The 16,459-nt window shown below is 44.7% G+C and overlaps 1 protein-coding gene across 5 annotated transcripts in view, besides 3 other annotated features; it reads left to right on the top strand.

Moving 5' to 3' along the window:
* SPAG9 (sperm associated antigen 9) overlaps positions 1-16,459 on the top strand; it is a 158,695-nt gene that overhangs the window by 2,191 nt on the left and 140,045 nt on the right. The window lies entirely within an intron of this gene.
* Positions 1,676-1,775: an enhancer, noted in NCBI's record as "active region_12397". NCBI's record gives its function as "activates an Ori minimal core promoter by ATAC-STARR-seq in GM12878 lymphoblastoid cells {active_cell/tissue: GM12878}" and the evidence as "EXISTENCE:reporter gene assay evidence [ECO:0000049][PMID:35858748]".
* Positions 1,806-1,895: an enhancer, noted in NCBI's record as "active region_12396". NCBI's record gives its function as "activates an Ori minimal core promoter by ATAC-STARR-seq in GM12878 lymphoblastoid cells {active_cell/tissue: GM12878}" and the evidence as "EXISTENCE:reporter gene assay evidence [ECO:0000049][PMID:35858748]".
* Positions 2,006-2,065: an enhancer, noted in NCBI's record as "active region_12395". NCBI's record gives its function as "activates an Ori minimal core promoter by ATAC-STARR-seq in GM12878 lymphoblastoid cells {active_cell/tissue: GM12878}" and the evidence as "EXISTENCE:reporter gene assay evidence [ECO:0000049][PMID:35858748]".

Genomic DNA, 16,459 nt, shown 5'->3' with positions numbered 1-16,459 from the left:
TCCGCTTGTTTGTTAGCACTCTTTATAGAACAGAGGTCAAGTGCTACTTGCTGCTTCATGCTCATATAGCCCCTTGCCAGTGTGTGGATATACATGGAAGTGACTGGGAATTAACCACATGTACACACAGGTGACAAGCAAGCCTGACATGACCTTTTACCTCACGTAAAATAAATGCTCCCTCCAGCCTTAAACTCCTGTCAGTCCGTGTAAATATGGGCAAAATGCCAGGGTCACACGTGCCAAGAAAACCATCTGCCACAGGTTGCAGAATCAGAAAACAAAATTGCCCGACTGCTAGACTCTGGGTTCCCTATTAATTTCTTGAGTAAATGACTCTAAAAAAAATAGGTTATCCAATGAATTTATTTGTAGTTTATATTTTTTCAGTTACATCTGTAAATTCTCCATAGTGAAACCATTGGGCAAAGGGTCATGACCTGAGAACAGAGAACATTTATGAAATGCTAAATGAGCCCACTCCCAGGCCACAAACATAAACACACCTTGTTATCAGTTTTCTTTTCTCTTTTTTTTTTTTTTTGAGACAGAGTCTCTCTCTGTCGCCAGGCTGGAGTGCAGTGGCACGATCTCGGCTCACTGCCTCCCGGGTTCAAGCAATTCTTCTGCCTCAGCCGCCCGAGTAGCTGGGACTATAGGCACGTGCCACCCCGCCCAGCTAATATGTATATATATTTTGTATTTTAGTAGAGACGGGGTTTCACCTTGTTGCCCAGGCTGGTCTTGAACTCCTGAGCTCAGGCAATCCACTCGCCTCAGCCTCCCAAAGTACTGGGATTACAGATGTGAGCCACCACACCCGGCCATCAGTTTTCACATAAGATCATAAATTGTGTGTTGCTCAGTATCCAGAAATTGTCTCCCTTTGGCCAATATGTAGAGTGAATTCTGTGTTTAGTTTTCTGTGAGTGCTTTGTTTGCGCCTTTTTTTTTTTTTTTTTTTTTTTTGAGACGGAGTCTTGCTCTGTCACCCAGGCTGGAGTGCAGTGGCACAATCTTGACTCACTGCAGCCTCCGCCTCCCGGGTTCAAGCGATTCTGCCTCAGCCTCTTGAGTAGCTGGGATTACAAGCACGTGCCACCACGCCTGGCTAATTTTTTTGTATTTTTGGTAGAGACGGGGTTTCACCATTTTAGCCAGGATAGTCTCAATCTCCTGACCTCGTGATCTGCCCGCCTCAGCCTCCCAAAGTGCTGGGATTACAGGCATGAGCCACCGTGCCGGCCTGTTTGTGTCTTTAATGCGGAGACCAAGAGTCTTTTATACCAAAGTAAGTGCCTCAGGGTATTTACAGCAAAAGTGATTTGAAAGCATGGAAATTATCCATCACCAGAGAGAGTAAAGTAAATTCTGAGCACCTCTGTGGAAACTTAGGTGGGTATGTAGATAGAATGTTTTAGGAATGTGTGAGGTGCTATGATCTCTTGCTTGCAGGAATTCTCAGCAAGGCATCAAAAATTTAATCTTTATATTGATAGGACATATTTTGAATACCTTCTGACTTTTTCCTTTGCTTTTATTTGAATTTCTAGTGTGGAGCTAGTCTGCTGTTTTAGGGATTCTTTAAAAACAACCTAAAGAAGGGCTAATTTTAGATAGATTTGGACCGGTTTCAGATGCTAATCAAGAAATCTGTCATCTTATCGCCCATCACTCTCTCCTTTGGGCTGCCTGTGACACACCTCTCCATTCTTTAACCAAGACCCGTCTGATGCCTTTGCCCATGCTCTAGAATGCTCTCCTTAGAATTTTACATAGCTAGCTCCTCACTTTCTACTCTGTTTCAATTTCACTTTTTCAGCCAGAACATCCTGTTGACTCTATCCAGAATAAGCCCTGTGAACCTATTGAATAATTTATTTTAAAATCAGTGACTTTTAAATTTAAATTCTTTTTGGAGACAGAGTCTCAATCGCCTAGGCTGGGGTGTAGTGGCACAGTCACAGTTCACTGCAGCCTCAATCTCTTGGGCTCAAGTGATCCTCTTGCCTCAGCCTCCTGAGTAGCTAGGACCACAGACATGCGTTACCACACTGGGCTAATTAAATTTTTTACAGAGACAAGGTCTCACTGTGTTGCCCAGTCTGGTCTGGAACTCCTGGGCTCAAGTGATCCTCCTGCCTTGTGGATCCTGCCAAAGTGTTGGGACTTACAGGGGTGAGCCACTGTGCCCCAGCCCAGTGATTTTTTAAAATAAAAATCTGGATACAAAATGATCTGGAGAGAGAGGTTATAACTGGGTATGTTAGGGTTTTTCTGCAACTTCTGATTCTTTTAAAACAGGCATGATTTGCTGTAACTTTTAAAAAAGGGCCAGGTGTGGTGGCTCACATCTATAGTCCCAGCACTTTGGGAGGCCGAGGCAGATGGATCACTTGAGGTCAGGAGTGTGGGACCAGCCTCGCCAACATGATGAAACCCTGTCTGTACTAAAAATACAAAAATTATCTGGGTGTGGTGGTGGGTGCCTGTAATCCCAGCTACTGGGGAGGCTGATGCAGAAGAATTGCTTGAACCCGGGAGATGGAGGTTGCAGTGAGCTGGGATCGTGCCTCTGTACTCCAGCCTGGGCAGTAGAGTGAGACTACCTCTCAAAAAAGAAAAAAGAAAAAAAAAAGAAACTTCTGAAAAGTAGACATACGAGTTTAAAGAACCTTTAGGAATTTAGTTCTTAGTGATTCTGTGGGTCTTTTATGTTATCACTGTTATTCTCAAAGTGAGAGCTCATTTAGCATCATTCAGTAGAGGGAGATTACACATAAAAACGAAGAGGCATTGTCTTCCTTCCTTTTCTTTTTCTTTTCTTTTCTTTTCTTTTCTTTTTTTTTGAGATGGAGTTTCTCTTGTTGCCCAGGCTAGAGTGCAATGGTGCCATCTCGGCTCACTGCAACCTTCGCCTCCTGGGTTCAAACAGTTCTCCTGCCTCAGCCTCTCAAGTAGCTGGGATTACAGGCATGCGCCACCACGCCTGGCTAATTTTGTATTTTTAGTGGAGTTGGGGTTTCTGCATGTTGGTCAGGCTGGTCTTGAACTCCTGACCTCAGGTGATCCGCCCGCCTTGGCCTCCTAAAGTGCTGGGATTGCCACTGTGAACCACCGCGCCTGGCTCCTTCCCTCCTTTTTGAGATAGACTCATACATGCAGAGAATGGACTGAAGAGAGAATATCTTTACTGGGAATGGATTATGTGATTTTGTGTCTGCTTTTTTGTGGCCTTTTGCTTTAAAAAAAAAAAAAAAAGGATGAGTTCAAGCCTGGGCAACGTAGTGAGACCCCTCTTCCCCAAAAACCATAAAAAAAATTAGTTGGGTGTGATGGTGTGAGCCTGTAGTCCTAGCTACTCAGGAGGCTAAGGCAGGAGGATCACTTAAGCCCAGGAGTTTGAGACTGCAGTGAGTTATCATGGCCACGGCACTCCAGCCTTGACAACAGGGCAAGACCCTGTTTCTTACCAAAAAACAAAACAATAGGATGACTGAATGCAGAGGTGAGAGACACTACTGAGAATTTTCTAACTTGTTCCCATGGAATCAGCACTTAAAGCAGTAACAAAATGATTTTTGTTTAAATGGAGACTTTTGACACTTCTTGTCTTTGGAAGTGTATGAACATGGGACCCGTAAGACTCATGGGCAGGAAAATAGGTATTGACATTCATTGTTCTTGTTTTAGTGTTCTCATTCATTCATAATTTTTTTTTTTTTTGAGACAGAGTCTCACTCTGTCACCCAGGCTGGAGTGCAGTGGCACTATCCCAGCTCATTGCAACCTCTGCCTCCCAGGTTCAAGCAATTCTCCTGCCTCAGCTGCCTGAGTAGCTGGGATTACAGGTGTGCACCACTACACCCGGCTAATTTTTGTATTTTCAGTAGAGACAGGGTTTCACCATGTTGGCCAGGGTGGTGTAAAACTCCTGACCTCAAGTGATTCATCTGCCTCAACCTCCCAAAGTGCTGGGATTACAGGCGTGAGCCACCACACTTGGCCCACACTTGATATTTTATTTTTTAATTTTATTTATTTTTGAGACTGAGTTTCACGCTCTGTTGCCCAGGCTGGGGTGCAGAGGCACGATCTTGGCTTACTGCAACCTCTGCCTTCTGGATTCAAGCAGTTCTTCTGTCTCAGCCTTCTGAGTAGCTGGGATTATAGGCATGAGCCACCATGCCCAGCTACTTTTTGTATTTTTAGTAGAGATGGGGTTTCACCATGTTAGCCAGGCTGGTCTTGAACTCCTGACCTTGTTATCTGCCTACCTTGGCCTGCCAAAGTGTTGGGATTACAGGCATGAGCCACCATGCCTGGCCCATTTTTTAAAAAATTTATTTTTGAGACAGAGTCTTGTGCTGTCGCCCAGGCTGGAGTGCAGTGGTGCGATCTCAGATCACTGTAACTCCCACCTTCCAGGTTCAAGCAATTCTCCTGCCTCAGCCTCCCTAGTAGTTTGGGATTACAGGCACGCGCCAGCACGCCCGGCTAATTTTTGTAGTTTTAATAGAGAAGGGGTTTCACCATGTTGTCCAGGCTGGTCTCAAACTCTTGACCTCAGGTGATCCCCCTGCCTCGGCCTCCCAAAGTGCTGGGATTACAAGCGTGAGCCACCGCACCTGGCCTAAAAAACACATATTTTAATATTTTTATAGATCTTTTGATTGATTGATTGAGACGAGATCTCACTCTGTTGCCCAGGCCAGAGTGCAGTGGTGTAATCCCGGCTGACTGCAACCTCTGCCTCCTGGGTTCAAGCGATCCTCCCATCTCAACTTCCGGAATAGCTGGGACTACAGGATCATGCCGCCATGCCTGGCTAATTTTTGTATTTTTTGTAGAAATGGGTTTCCCATGTTGCCCAGGCTGATCTTGAATATTTGGGCTCAGACATTCCTCGCACCTCAGCCTCCCAAAGTGCTGTGATTACAGGTGTGAGCCACTGCACCCAACCTATTTTCTTTTGTTGTTGTTGTTTTTTTTTTTTTTGAGATGGGGTCTTGCTTTGCCACCCATGCTGGAGTGCAGTAGCGCGATCTTGGCTCACTGCAACCTCTGCCTCCCGGGTTCAAGCAGTTCTCCTGCCTCATCCTCCTGAGTAGCTGGGACTACAGGTGCTCACAACCACACCTCGCTAACTTTTGTATTTTTAATAGAGATGGGGTTTTACCATGTTGTCCAGGCTGGTATTGAACTCCTAACCTCAGGTGATCCACCTGCCTTGGCCTCCCAAAGTGCTGGGATTACAGGTGTGAGACACTGTGCCCGGCCAACCTATTTGCTTTTTCTTTTCTTTCTTTTTTTTTTTTTTTTTTGATATGGCATTTCACACTTGTTGCCCAGGCTGGAGCGCAATGGTGCGATCTCAGCTCACTGCAACCTCCGCCTCCCAGATACAAAGGATTCTCCTGCCTCAGCCTCCTGAGTAGCTGGGATTACAGGCATGTGCCACCATGGCCAGCTAATTTTGTATTTGTAGTAAAGATGGGGTTTCTCCATGTTGGTCAGGCTGGTCTCGAACTCCCAACCTCAGGTGATCCGCCGGCCTCGGCCTCCCAAAGTGCTGGGATTATGGGTGTGAGCCACCACGCCCGGCAGCGGCCAACATTTTTTCATATTTTTAAAAATACCATTTTTTTTTTCTGAACTGTTTGTTTTTGTGATTTTTTTTTCCTTTGGTTGGGTTTTTTTTTTTTTCTTTTTTTTAGAGATGAGGTTCAGGCTGGAGTGCAGTTGTGCAATCATGGCCCACAGCAGCCTTGACCTCCAGGGCTCAAGTAGATCCCACTTCCTCAGCCTCTGAGCAGCTGTGACTACAGGCATGCGCCACCATGCCTGGCTAATTTTTAATTTTTTTTGTAGAAACAGGGTCTCGTTATGTTATGCAAGCTGAACTCACTATGTTGCCCAGTCTGGTCTGGAACTCCTGGGCTCAAGTGGATCCTCCTGCCTTGTGGATCCTGCCAAAGTTTTTTTTTTTTTTTTTTTTTTTTTTTTGTTGAGACAGAGTCTGGCTCTGTCGCCAGTCTGGAGTGCAGTGGAGTGTCTTGGCTTGCTGCAACCTCCACCACCTGGGTTCAAGCGATTCTCTTGCTTCAGCCTCCTGAGTAGCTGGGACTACAGGCGCGCGCCATCACACCCAGCTAATTTTTGTATTTTTAGTGGAGATGGGGTTTCACCATGTTGGCCAGGATGGTCTTGATCTCGACCTCAAGTCATCTGCCTGCCCCAGCCTCCCAAAGTGCTAGGATTACAGGTGTGAGCCACTGCGCCTGGCCTTTTTTTTTTTTTTTTTTTTGTAGAGATGGGGTCACACTGTGTTGCCCAGGCTTGTCTTGAACTCCTGGCCTCAAGACATTTTCTTACCTCAGCCTCCCAAAGTGTTGGGATTGTAGGTGTGAGCCACCACACCTGGCCATGGTTAACGATTCGAATAATGTTCACACTGCCCCTAGCCAGAGTAGATAGAGATATGCCCCTGCACCTAGTCATTCAGACACTTTCTGAAATGAACAATCTATGTTTGTTTTCTGGCGGGAGTGGGATGGGAAGGGGTATGGTTGTTGCTTTATGAAATAATAATTTGTTAGTTAATTATTACTTAAGCTCCTAAGACATTTTTTTTTAAAGACAAAGACTAGCTCTGGATTAAGACATCTTTTTTTAAATTTGAGATTTCTGAATGTGAATATCTAAATGAGATACCATTATGTGTCCCTGCTGTAGTGACACTCATATTTTTATTTAGTTAAAAATCACAAAAGAACGCTACGCATGGTGGCTCATGCCTGTAATTTCAGCACTTTGGGAGGCCGAGGTGGTGGATTGCCTGAGGTCAGGAGTTCAAGACCAGCCCTGACCAACATGGTGAAACCCCGTCTCTACTAAAAATACAAAAATTAACTGGGCATGGTGGCGGACGCCTGTAATCCAAGCTACTCCGGAGGCAGAGGAAGGAAAATCACTTGTACCTGGGAGGCGGAGGTTGTAGTGAGCCAATATCTTGCCATTGAACTCCAGCCTGAGCTACAGAGTGAGACTGTGTCTTCAAAAGAAAAAACAAAACAAAAAAAAATCACAAAAGAGGACACCAAACTGGGTATAGTACCAAACTGGTTCAGAGGGTAGATTAGTAGATTGACTATTCACTGGATTGCTGAAGTGTGTGCCATAGGTCACACATCCAGTTCTGTGCTTGAGAGAGTACAGGATTCCTGCTTCTTGAAATCTTTACCTTACCTTTAACTACATGCTGCTTACTTATGTTGTACTGAACTTTGCTTCTCAGGAGAACTGATGTTAGAACCTACCCAAGTTATTTTGCTCTGCTCTGCACTCAATGAATACAGCTGTTATCTAAATAAGTTATTAGGTTGTGGTCAGAAATATCTGCATAGACCAGTTTAATAATGTATGTAATGTTATATATATTTAAAAAGCTGTTATTTGGAAATGGGTATATATAAGTTCTGTTTTTTACTTTGAAATCTTGACCAGTGATATTTGATTATTGCTTTGAACATAGCACTGTGTTTTCTTTTCTTTTTTTTTTTGAGACGGAGTCTTGCTCTGTCACCCTGGCTGGAGTGCAGTGGCGGGATCTCGGCTCACTGCAACCTCCGCCTCCTGGATTCAAGCGATTCTCCTGCCTCAGCCTCCCGTGTAGCTGGGACTACAGGCGCCCGCCACCACACCCGGCTAATTTTTTGTATTTTTAGTAGAGATGGGGTTTCACTGCGTTAGCCAGGATGGTCTCAATCTGACCTCGTGATCTGCCCGCCTCGGCCTCCCAAAGTGGTGGGATTACAGGCATGAGCCACCCACCCGGCCATACTGTGTTTTATTTTCTTAAGAATTACAGCATTCAGTAGTTTGGCATAATAGGCACACCCAAAAATGTGTGAGGTGAACCATGGGAATTTATATATTAATGTAATAGAGAAGTACCAAGTTGAGGGTATAGAATTTTATTTTATGTTATTTTTTTCGAGACAAGGTCTGGCCCAGGTTGGAGTGCAGTGGTGCGATCTTGGCTCACTGCAACTGTTGCCTCTTGGGCTCAAGCCATCCTTCCGTCTCAGCCTCCCAAGTAGATGGGACTACAGGTGTACACCACCACGCCCAGCTAATTTTTGATATTTTGTAAAGACGGGTTTCACCATGTTGCCCAGGCTGGTCTCGAATTTGTGAGCTCAAGTGATCTGCCTGCCTCGGCCTCCCAAAGTGCTGGGATTACAAGCGTGAGCCACCACGTCCAGCTAGGGTTTTTTTTTTTTTTTTGTAAGGTTAGTAAACTTTTTCAGTAAATCCACCACCACCCCTCCCAGCTTTTTATTAGGTAAACTTTCAAACATATAGAAAAATGGAAAGTACATTTGTCATTTGTATACCCACTATATAGATTCAGTAGTTGTTGTTTTATTTATCTGTCTGTATATGTGGATGTGTGGGTGTGGATACACATATACACACATACACATATTTAATTGCTGAACCATTTTAAATTGCAGACATACTTTGCCCCTCAGTACTTAACATATTTAAATTACAGACATTATGATACTTTGCCTCTCAGTACTTAACATATTTATCTCCTAAAAAATGAGAATATTCTGCCATATAACCACCATATTATTTACGTTTGAGAACATTTCCAAGGCCGAGTGTAGTAGCTAATGCCTGTAATCCCAGCACTTTGGGAGGCTGAGGTGGGCGGAACACTTGAGCTCATGAGTTGAAGATCAGCCTGGGTAACATAGCAAAACCTTGTCTCTACAAAAAATATAAAAATTAGCGTGGTGTGGTGGTGTGTGCCTATAGTCCCAGCTACTTGGGGGGCCGAGGCAGGAGGATCGCACCAGCCTAGGAAGTCAAGGCTGAGGTAAGATGTGTTCATGCCACTGTGCTCCAGCCTGGGCAACACAGTGAGACTCTGTCAAAAAGAAAAGAAAAGAAAAAAAAGAACCTTTGTAATATCATCTAATATTAATTTGAATTAATTTTTAAGAGCACAGTATGTGTCAGTTATTATATAGCTAACTAGCTTCTTAATATGTTTATAATGAATTAATGAAACTCATCTGGGAGGAAGTGTTTGCATTTTAGTTACTTTTCTATAAGAAATTTAAATTTGAGGCCGGACGCAGTGGCTCACGCCTGTAATCCCAGCACTTTGGAAGGCCGAGGTGGGCAGATCACGAGGTCAAGAGTTCGAGACCAGCCTGACCAACATGGTGAAACCCCGTCTCTACTAAAAATACAAAAATTAGCTGGGCATGGTGGTGTGTGCCTGTAATCCCAGCTACTCCGGAGGCTGAAGCAAGAGAATCACTTGAACCTGGGAGGTGGAGGTTGTGGTGAGCTGAGATCGTGCCACGGCACTCCAGCCTAGGCGACAGAGCAAGACTCCATCTCAAAAAAGAAAAAAGAAAAAGAAAAAGAAATTTAAATGTGAAATATATAAAACGGAATTAAAATTGGCTAATTTTGTTTTAAAATTAGCACATTGGCCAGGCGTGGTGGCTCATGCCTGTAATCTTAGCACTTGGGGAGTCTGAGGCGGGCGGATCACCTGAGGTCAGGAGTTCGAGACCAGCCTGACCAACATGGAGAAACCCTGTCTCTACTAAAAATATAAAAGTAGCTGGGCTTGGTGGTGCACGTCTGTAATCCCAGCTACTCAGGAGGCTGAGGCAGGAGAATCGCTTGAACCCAGGAGGCTGAGGCAGGAGAATCATGTGAACCCGGGAGGTGGAGGTTGCAGTGAGCTGAGATCATGCCATTGCACTCCAGCCTGGGCAACAAGAGCGAAACTTTTGTCTCAAAAAAAAATAAAAATAAATAAATAAAATTATCACATAAAAACTATTATGGACCAGGCACAGTGGCTCATGCTTATAATCTTAGCAGTTTGGGAGGCCAAGGAAGGAGGATAGCTTGAGCCCCAGAGTTCCAGAACAGCCTGGGCAACATAGTGAGACCGTATCTTTACAAAAAATAGAAAAATTAGCCGAGTGTGGTGGTATGCACCTGTGGCTCCAGCTACTTGAGACGCTGAGGTGGGAGGATCCCTTGAGCCCAGGAGGTTGAGGTTGCAATGACCCCTGATTGTGCCACTGCACTCTGGCACACAGCACCACTTGCTCTGGGTGACAGAGCAAGACCCTGTCTCAAAAAGAAAACAAATTATTTTTCCCCTTTTTGAAACTTTGAGATATAGAAATACAGAAAATGACCCTATATTTAATATTTTTGCTAGTAACTATTTTTTTTTTTTTTTTTTGAGACAGTCTTTCGCTTTGTCACCTAGGCTGGAGTGTAGTGGTGCAATTTCATCTCACCACAACCTCTGCCTCCTGGGTTCAAGTGATTCTTGTGCCTCAGCCTTCTGAGTAGCTGGGACTACAGGTGCCTGCCACCACACCCAGCTAATTTTTGTATTTTTAGTAGAGACGGGGTTTTGCCATGTTGACCATGCTGGTCTTGAACTTGCAACCTCAGGTGACCTGCCTGCCTCAGCCTCCCAAAATGCTGGGATAACCAGCACCAGCCACCGCCCCATGGCCATCTTTTTTTTTTTTTTTTCTTAAATCATGTATTTCCAGGATATCTTGTTTCTGACTTGTTTACCTACTCTGCCAGGGTTATAGAGCCTGAGAAATTCTTTTACCTGCTGATAAGATTTCCTCTGGGGTATAGGCCTGGAATTTTTATGATTCTGGATTCTATTACTGCCCCCCTCCCTTTTTTTTTTTGAGACAGTGTCTCATGCTATTGCCCAGGCTGGAGAGCAGTGTTGCAATCAGAGCTCACTGTAGCCTCAACCTCCTGGGCTCAAGCTATCCCCCTACCTTAGCCTCCCAAGTAACTGAGATTATAGTTGTGAGCCACATGCAACATCTATTATTGCCTTTTTTTTTTTTTTAACCTTTTTTTTGATGGAGTCTTGCTGTCGCCCAGGCTGGAGTGCAATGGCATGATCTCGGCTCACTGCAACCTCCACCTCCCGGGTTCAAGCAATTCTCCTGCCTCAGCCTCCCGAGTAGCTGAGAGTATAGGCGCGTGCCACCATGCCCAGCTAATTTTTGTAGTTTTAGTAGAGATGGGGTTTTACCATATTGGCCAGGCTGGTCTCAAACTCCTAACCTTGTGATCTGCCCACCTTGGCCTCCCAAAGTGCTGGGATTACAGGCGTGAGCCACCGTGTCTGACTATTATTGCCCTTTAAAGTGTGTTTTCTCTTGTTCTTCCTGCAGTTTTAATTAAATTAATTAATTTTTTTTGGTAGGGATGGGGGTCAGACTATGTTGCCCAGGCTGGTCTCAAACTCCTGGCCTCAAATGATCTGCCGCCTTGGCCTCCCAAGGTGCTGGGATTGCAGGTGTGAGCCACTGCATCCGGCCTTCCTGCAGTTTCTTTTAAAGAGCTGGACAGGAACTTTATGATTCTCTAGTTCTACCTTATCCCATTCCCCCAAGTAGGTGGAAAGATAAACAGAAACATAGATGCTTAGAAAGAACAAATATTTATTGAGCCAGGCTCTGTTCTTTTTCTTTTTTTTTTTTTTTTGAGATGGAGCACTCGCTCTTGCCCAGGCTAGAGTGCAGTGGCGGGATCTTGGCTCGCTGCAACCTCCGCCTCCCGGGTTCAAGCGATTCTTCTGCCTCAGCCTTCCAAGTAGCTGGGACTACAGGCGTGCACCGCCATGCTTGGCTAATTTTTGTATTTTTAGTAGAGACGGGGTTTCACCATATTAGCCAGGCTGGTCTTGAACTCCTGACCTTGTGATCTGCACACTTCAGCCTCCCAAAGTGCTAGGATTACAGGCGTGAGCCACTGCACCCGGACTTTTTTATTTTTATTTTTAAAAATTAAGACAGAGTCTTGCTCTATTGCCCAGACTGGAGTGCAGTGGCTTGATCTTGGATCACTGCAACCTCCGCCTCCCAGGTTCAAGTGATTTTCCCACCCTAGCTTCCTGAGCAGCTGGGATTACAGGCACCTGCCACCACACCTGGCTAATTTTTGTATTTTTGGTAGAGACAGGGTTTCACCATGTTGGCCAGGCTGGTCTTGAATTCCTGACCTTGAGTGACCCACCTCCCTTGGCCTCCCAAAGTGCTGGGATTACAGGCATGAGCCACCGCGCCTGGCAGAACAAGGCACTGTTCTAAGCCCTGGGGATGTAGCCACTAATGAAACAGACAAGGAAGGTAGCCTATCTTGTCTTGGAGTTTACATTGCAATAAACAATAAGCAAACCAGTTAATTACAGATTGTGATAGATGTGATGGGATAAAGACTAGAGTGGCAGGTACTTTATTTTACTTAAAAATTTTTTTAAATTTTATTTTATCTATTTATTTTGAGACACGGTCTTGCTCTGTCACCCAGGCTGGTGTGCAGTGGAGTGATCATAGCTCACTGCAGCCTCGAATTCCTGGGTTCAAGTGATTCTTTTGCCTCAACCTCCTGAGTAGCTAGGACTACAGGTGTATGCCATCATGCCCAGCTAGTGTGTGTGTGTGTGTGTGTGTGTGTGTGTGTGTGTGTGTGTGTGTGTGTGTAGAGATGGGGGTCTTGCTGTGTTGCCCAGGATGGGCACTTGAACTCCTGGCCTCAAGTGATCCTCCTGCCTCTGCTTCCCAAAGTGCTGGTATTACAGACATGAACCACTGCGCCTGGCCATAATTTTATTTTTTTTAACCAAGCAAGCAGCAGTGAAGAGGTAGGCACTTTAGATGGAACAAACAAGTTAATAAAGGTTAAGCTTTAAGTGTTTTTTCTTTTTCTCTTTTTTTTTGAGACAGCCTGCTCTGTCGCCCAGGCTGGAGTGCAGTGGCGCAATCTCGGCTCACTGCAAGCTCCATCTCCCGGGTTCACGCCATTCTCCTGCCTCAGCCTCCTGAGTAGCTGGGACTACAGGCGCCCGCCACCATGCCCAGCTAATTTTTTTGTATTTTTAGTAGAGACGAGGTTTCACTGTGTTAGCCAGGATGGCCTCGATCTCCTGACCTCGTGATCTGCCCACCTCGCCTCCCAAAGTGCTGGGATTACAGGCTTGAGCCACTGCGCCCGGCCAAGCTTTAAGTGTTTTTTCAAGCTACTGGGGAAGAAAAGGGAAGAAGAAAAGGTTAAGCTGCTCTTTCAGCAAATAATTCATTTCATCTCATAAGATAATTATTTAGATCTGAAACTTTAGATACATATTCAGAGTGTCTCCTACTCATTATTCTTGAACATTCAGAAAAGTTAGCTCTCATAAATGCCTGTCTTGTTTTCTATCTTATTCCTTCTCATACTTGATGTCTCAGCAGTGTTTTTTGGCTACTTCTTCCTTTGAGAAACATTACATTTAGTTTGTTTGACTTTGAAATTCCTTGGCTTTCCTCTTACCTACGTGACCATTCTGTGGATTCTTCTTACTCAGATGAATGTTGTGCTCCTGGGCTTTCTTTCTAAGAATTTCTATTCCCAGGGGTTCAATTTACCATTTGTTGATTATTACAAAATGTTTAACCTACTCATCTAACAGATTTTATTTATTTATTTATTTATTTATCTATTTATTTTTGAGACAGAGTCTCGCTCAGTCGCCTAGGCTGGAGTGCAGTGGCGTGATCTCGGCTCACTGCAAGCTCTGCCTCCCCAGTTCACACCATTCTCCTGCCTCAGCCTCCCGAGTAGCTGGGACTACAGGCGCCTGCCACCACACCCAGCTAATTTTTTTTTTTTTTGAGACGGAGTCTCGCTCTGTCGCCCAGGCTGGAGTGCAGTGGCGCGATCTCGGCTCACTGCAAGCTCCGCCTCCCAGGTTCACGCCATTCTCCTGCCTCAGCCTCCCGAGTAGCTGGGACTACAGGCGCCCGCTACCACGCCCGGCTAATTTTTTGTATTTTTAGTAGAGACGGGGTTTCACCGTGTTAGCCAGGATGGTCTCGATCTCCTGACCTCGTGATCCGCCCGCCTCGGCCTTCCAAAGTGCTGGGATTACAGGCGTGAGCCACCGCACCCGGCCTATTTATTTATTTTTGAGATGGCGTTTTGCTCTTGTTACCCAGGCTGGAGTGCAATGGTGTGAACTCGCCTCGCCATCACCTCCACCTCCCGGGTTCAAGCGATTCTCCTGTCTCAGCCTCTGGAGTAGCTGGGATTACAGGCAAGCGCCACCACACCTGGCTAATTTTGTAGTTTTAGTAGAGATGGTGTTTCTTCATGTTGGTCAGACTGGTCTTGATCTCGCGACCTTGGGTGATCCGTCCACCTTGGACTCCCAAAGTGCTAGAATTACAGGTGTAAGCCACCACGCCTGGCCTTACAGATACTTTCATTGAGTGCCAACTATGTGCATGATACTGTGCTCATTGGGCATACAGTGGTGAGTAAAACAGACAAGGTCCTTCTCTCATGGAACTGATAGCCTACTTTAAGGCCAGATCTCTCTCTGGAGTTTCAGATTCATCTTATGATTGTTTATTGGGTGTGAATATCTCCCAGCGTGTCCAAAACTGAACTTATTTCCCAAACCTGGTTCTCTTTTCTTCCCTATCTTCATGAAGGATACCACCATCTACCTGGCCAGAAATCAGGTTACCATCCCTAACTCTTCCTCATTCCCATTGCTGCTTTCTTTTGTTTTCAACTTTTAAATATTGCTGGAATCTCATTACTTTCTAAATCCATTTATACTACTGTGGTACAGGACACCAATATCGCTCACCCTGAATGCAAACTCCATAGACCTGGAAGTTTGTCATTCACCACTATATCCCAGTAGCTAGCACGTTGAAAGTGCCAGGGAAATTTTTCTGAATAGATGAATGGACAACTGAAACTAGTCCATAACTGATTTTTCTGCTTCCAGTATGGCCAACCTATAAACCGCCCATCTCTCCAAAATGGAAATCTGATCAGATCATTCCACAAGCCCTTAGTGGCTTTTTCTCAAATTCCTGGGCTCAAGTGGTCCTCTCACTTCAGCTTCTCAAAATGCTGAGAATACAGATGTGAGGCACCGTGCCTGGCCAGTTGCTCTTTCTAAAGCTCTTGAAAATGACTTAAGTTCCTAACATACAAGACCTTGTGATCTGGCTGCCCCAATCTTGTCAGTCTCATCTGTTTCTTTTTGAGCCACAGTGAACATTTTGAATTTGGTTTGTAAAAAGTATCCTCTCTCCAGGCCTTCCTAAAAGCTGTCCCTTTGCTTGGCACTCACTTTCTCTTCTTTTCTGTTGCCTTATTTTATTTATCTTTCAGGTTTCAATTCTGGAAAGCCTTAACACCCGACTGTGGTTTGGGCACATTTTATATCCTTCCACAGCTTACAGTCCTCTTGCCCTCTTGTAGCACTTTCAGCGCTGTGTCAAACTAACCTATTGCTTTTATTCTCCCACCAACTAGGATGCAGTAGATAATTAACAGAAATTTGTTGGTTGGATGGATGGATATGCTAAAGGTCAAATTGCTAAGACTAACCATTTAAAGTTCTCTTTGTGCATTCAAATTATCGTTCCTACTTCTGGTGCCAAGTTATGCTAAAACTTCCAAAAAGTTTTTCAATAAGTCCTTTCACTTTTGCATATACAGAAAAACCATGACTTCTCCTGGGTATAATTATTTCAGACTTATTTCAGACACTTTACCTACATTGCCTTATACTTACTATTCTGTAAATATTTATGCATTTAAAAAATCTAAATGTTAAGATCATTGGAATTACTTTCAGAAGTATTGTAGGAATTCAAGCCGGGTATAGCAACACACGCCTGAAGTCCCAGCTACTCAAGAGATTGAGCCCAGGATTCAAGGCCAGCTGGGCAACATAGCGAGACCCCATCTCTAAAAATAACAGTGATAATATTAATAATGCCAGGTGCAGTGGCTCATGCCTGTAATCTCAGCACTTTGGGAGGCCGAGTTGGGCAGATTATTTGAGGTCAGGGGTTCGAGACCAGCCTGGCCAACATGGTAAAACCCCATCTCTACTAAAAATACAAAAAATTAGCCAGGTGTGGTGGTGCACACCTGTAATCTCAGCTACTGGGGAGGCTGAGGCAGGAGAATCGCTTGAACCCAGGAGGTGGAGGTTGCAGTGAATGAAGATCATGCCACTGCACTGCAGCCTTGGGTGACAGAGCGAGACTCCACCTCAAAAAAAAAAAATTTCCATACAAATGAAGATTAAGTGCCAAAACTTAATTTTAACTCTTCGTTTCTTCTCTTATGTTAGACATTTCTATTTTTTTCTTTTCTTTTTTTTTTTTTTGCAGACAGAGTCTCACACTGTCACCCAGGCTGGAGTGAAGAGTCATGATCTTGGCTCACTGTAACCTCTGGCCTTTAGGTTCAAGCGATTCTCGTGCCTCAGCCTTCCAAGTAGCTGGGACTACAGGCGTGTGCCACCATGCCTGGCTAATTTTTTGTATTTTAGTATTTTATGTTTTTTGTATTT

This window comes from Homo sapiens, chromosome 17, assembly GCF_000001405.40.
Source record: "Homo sapiens chromosome 17, GRCh38.p14 Primary Assembly".
Classification (NCBI taxonomy): Eukaryota; Metazoa; Chordata; class Mammalia; order Primates; family Hominidae; genus Homo; species Homo sapiens.
The sequence above is the reverse complement of the archived record's forward strand: the minus strand, read 5'-3'. Positions and strand labels throughout refer to the sequence as shown.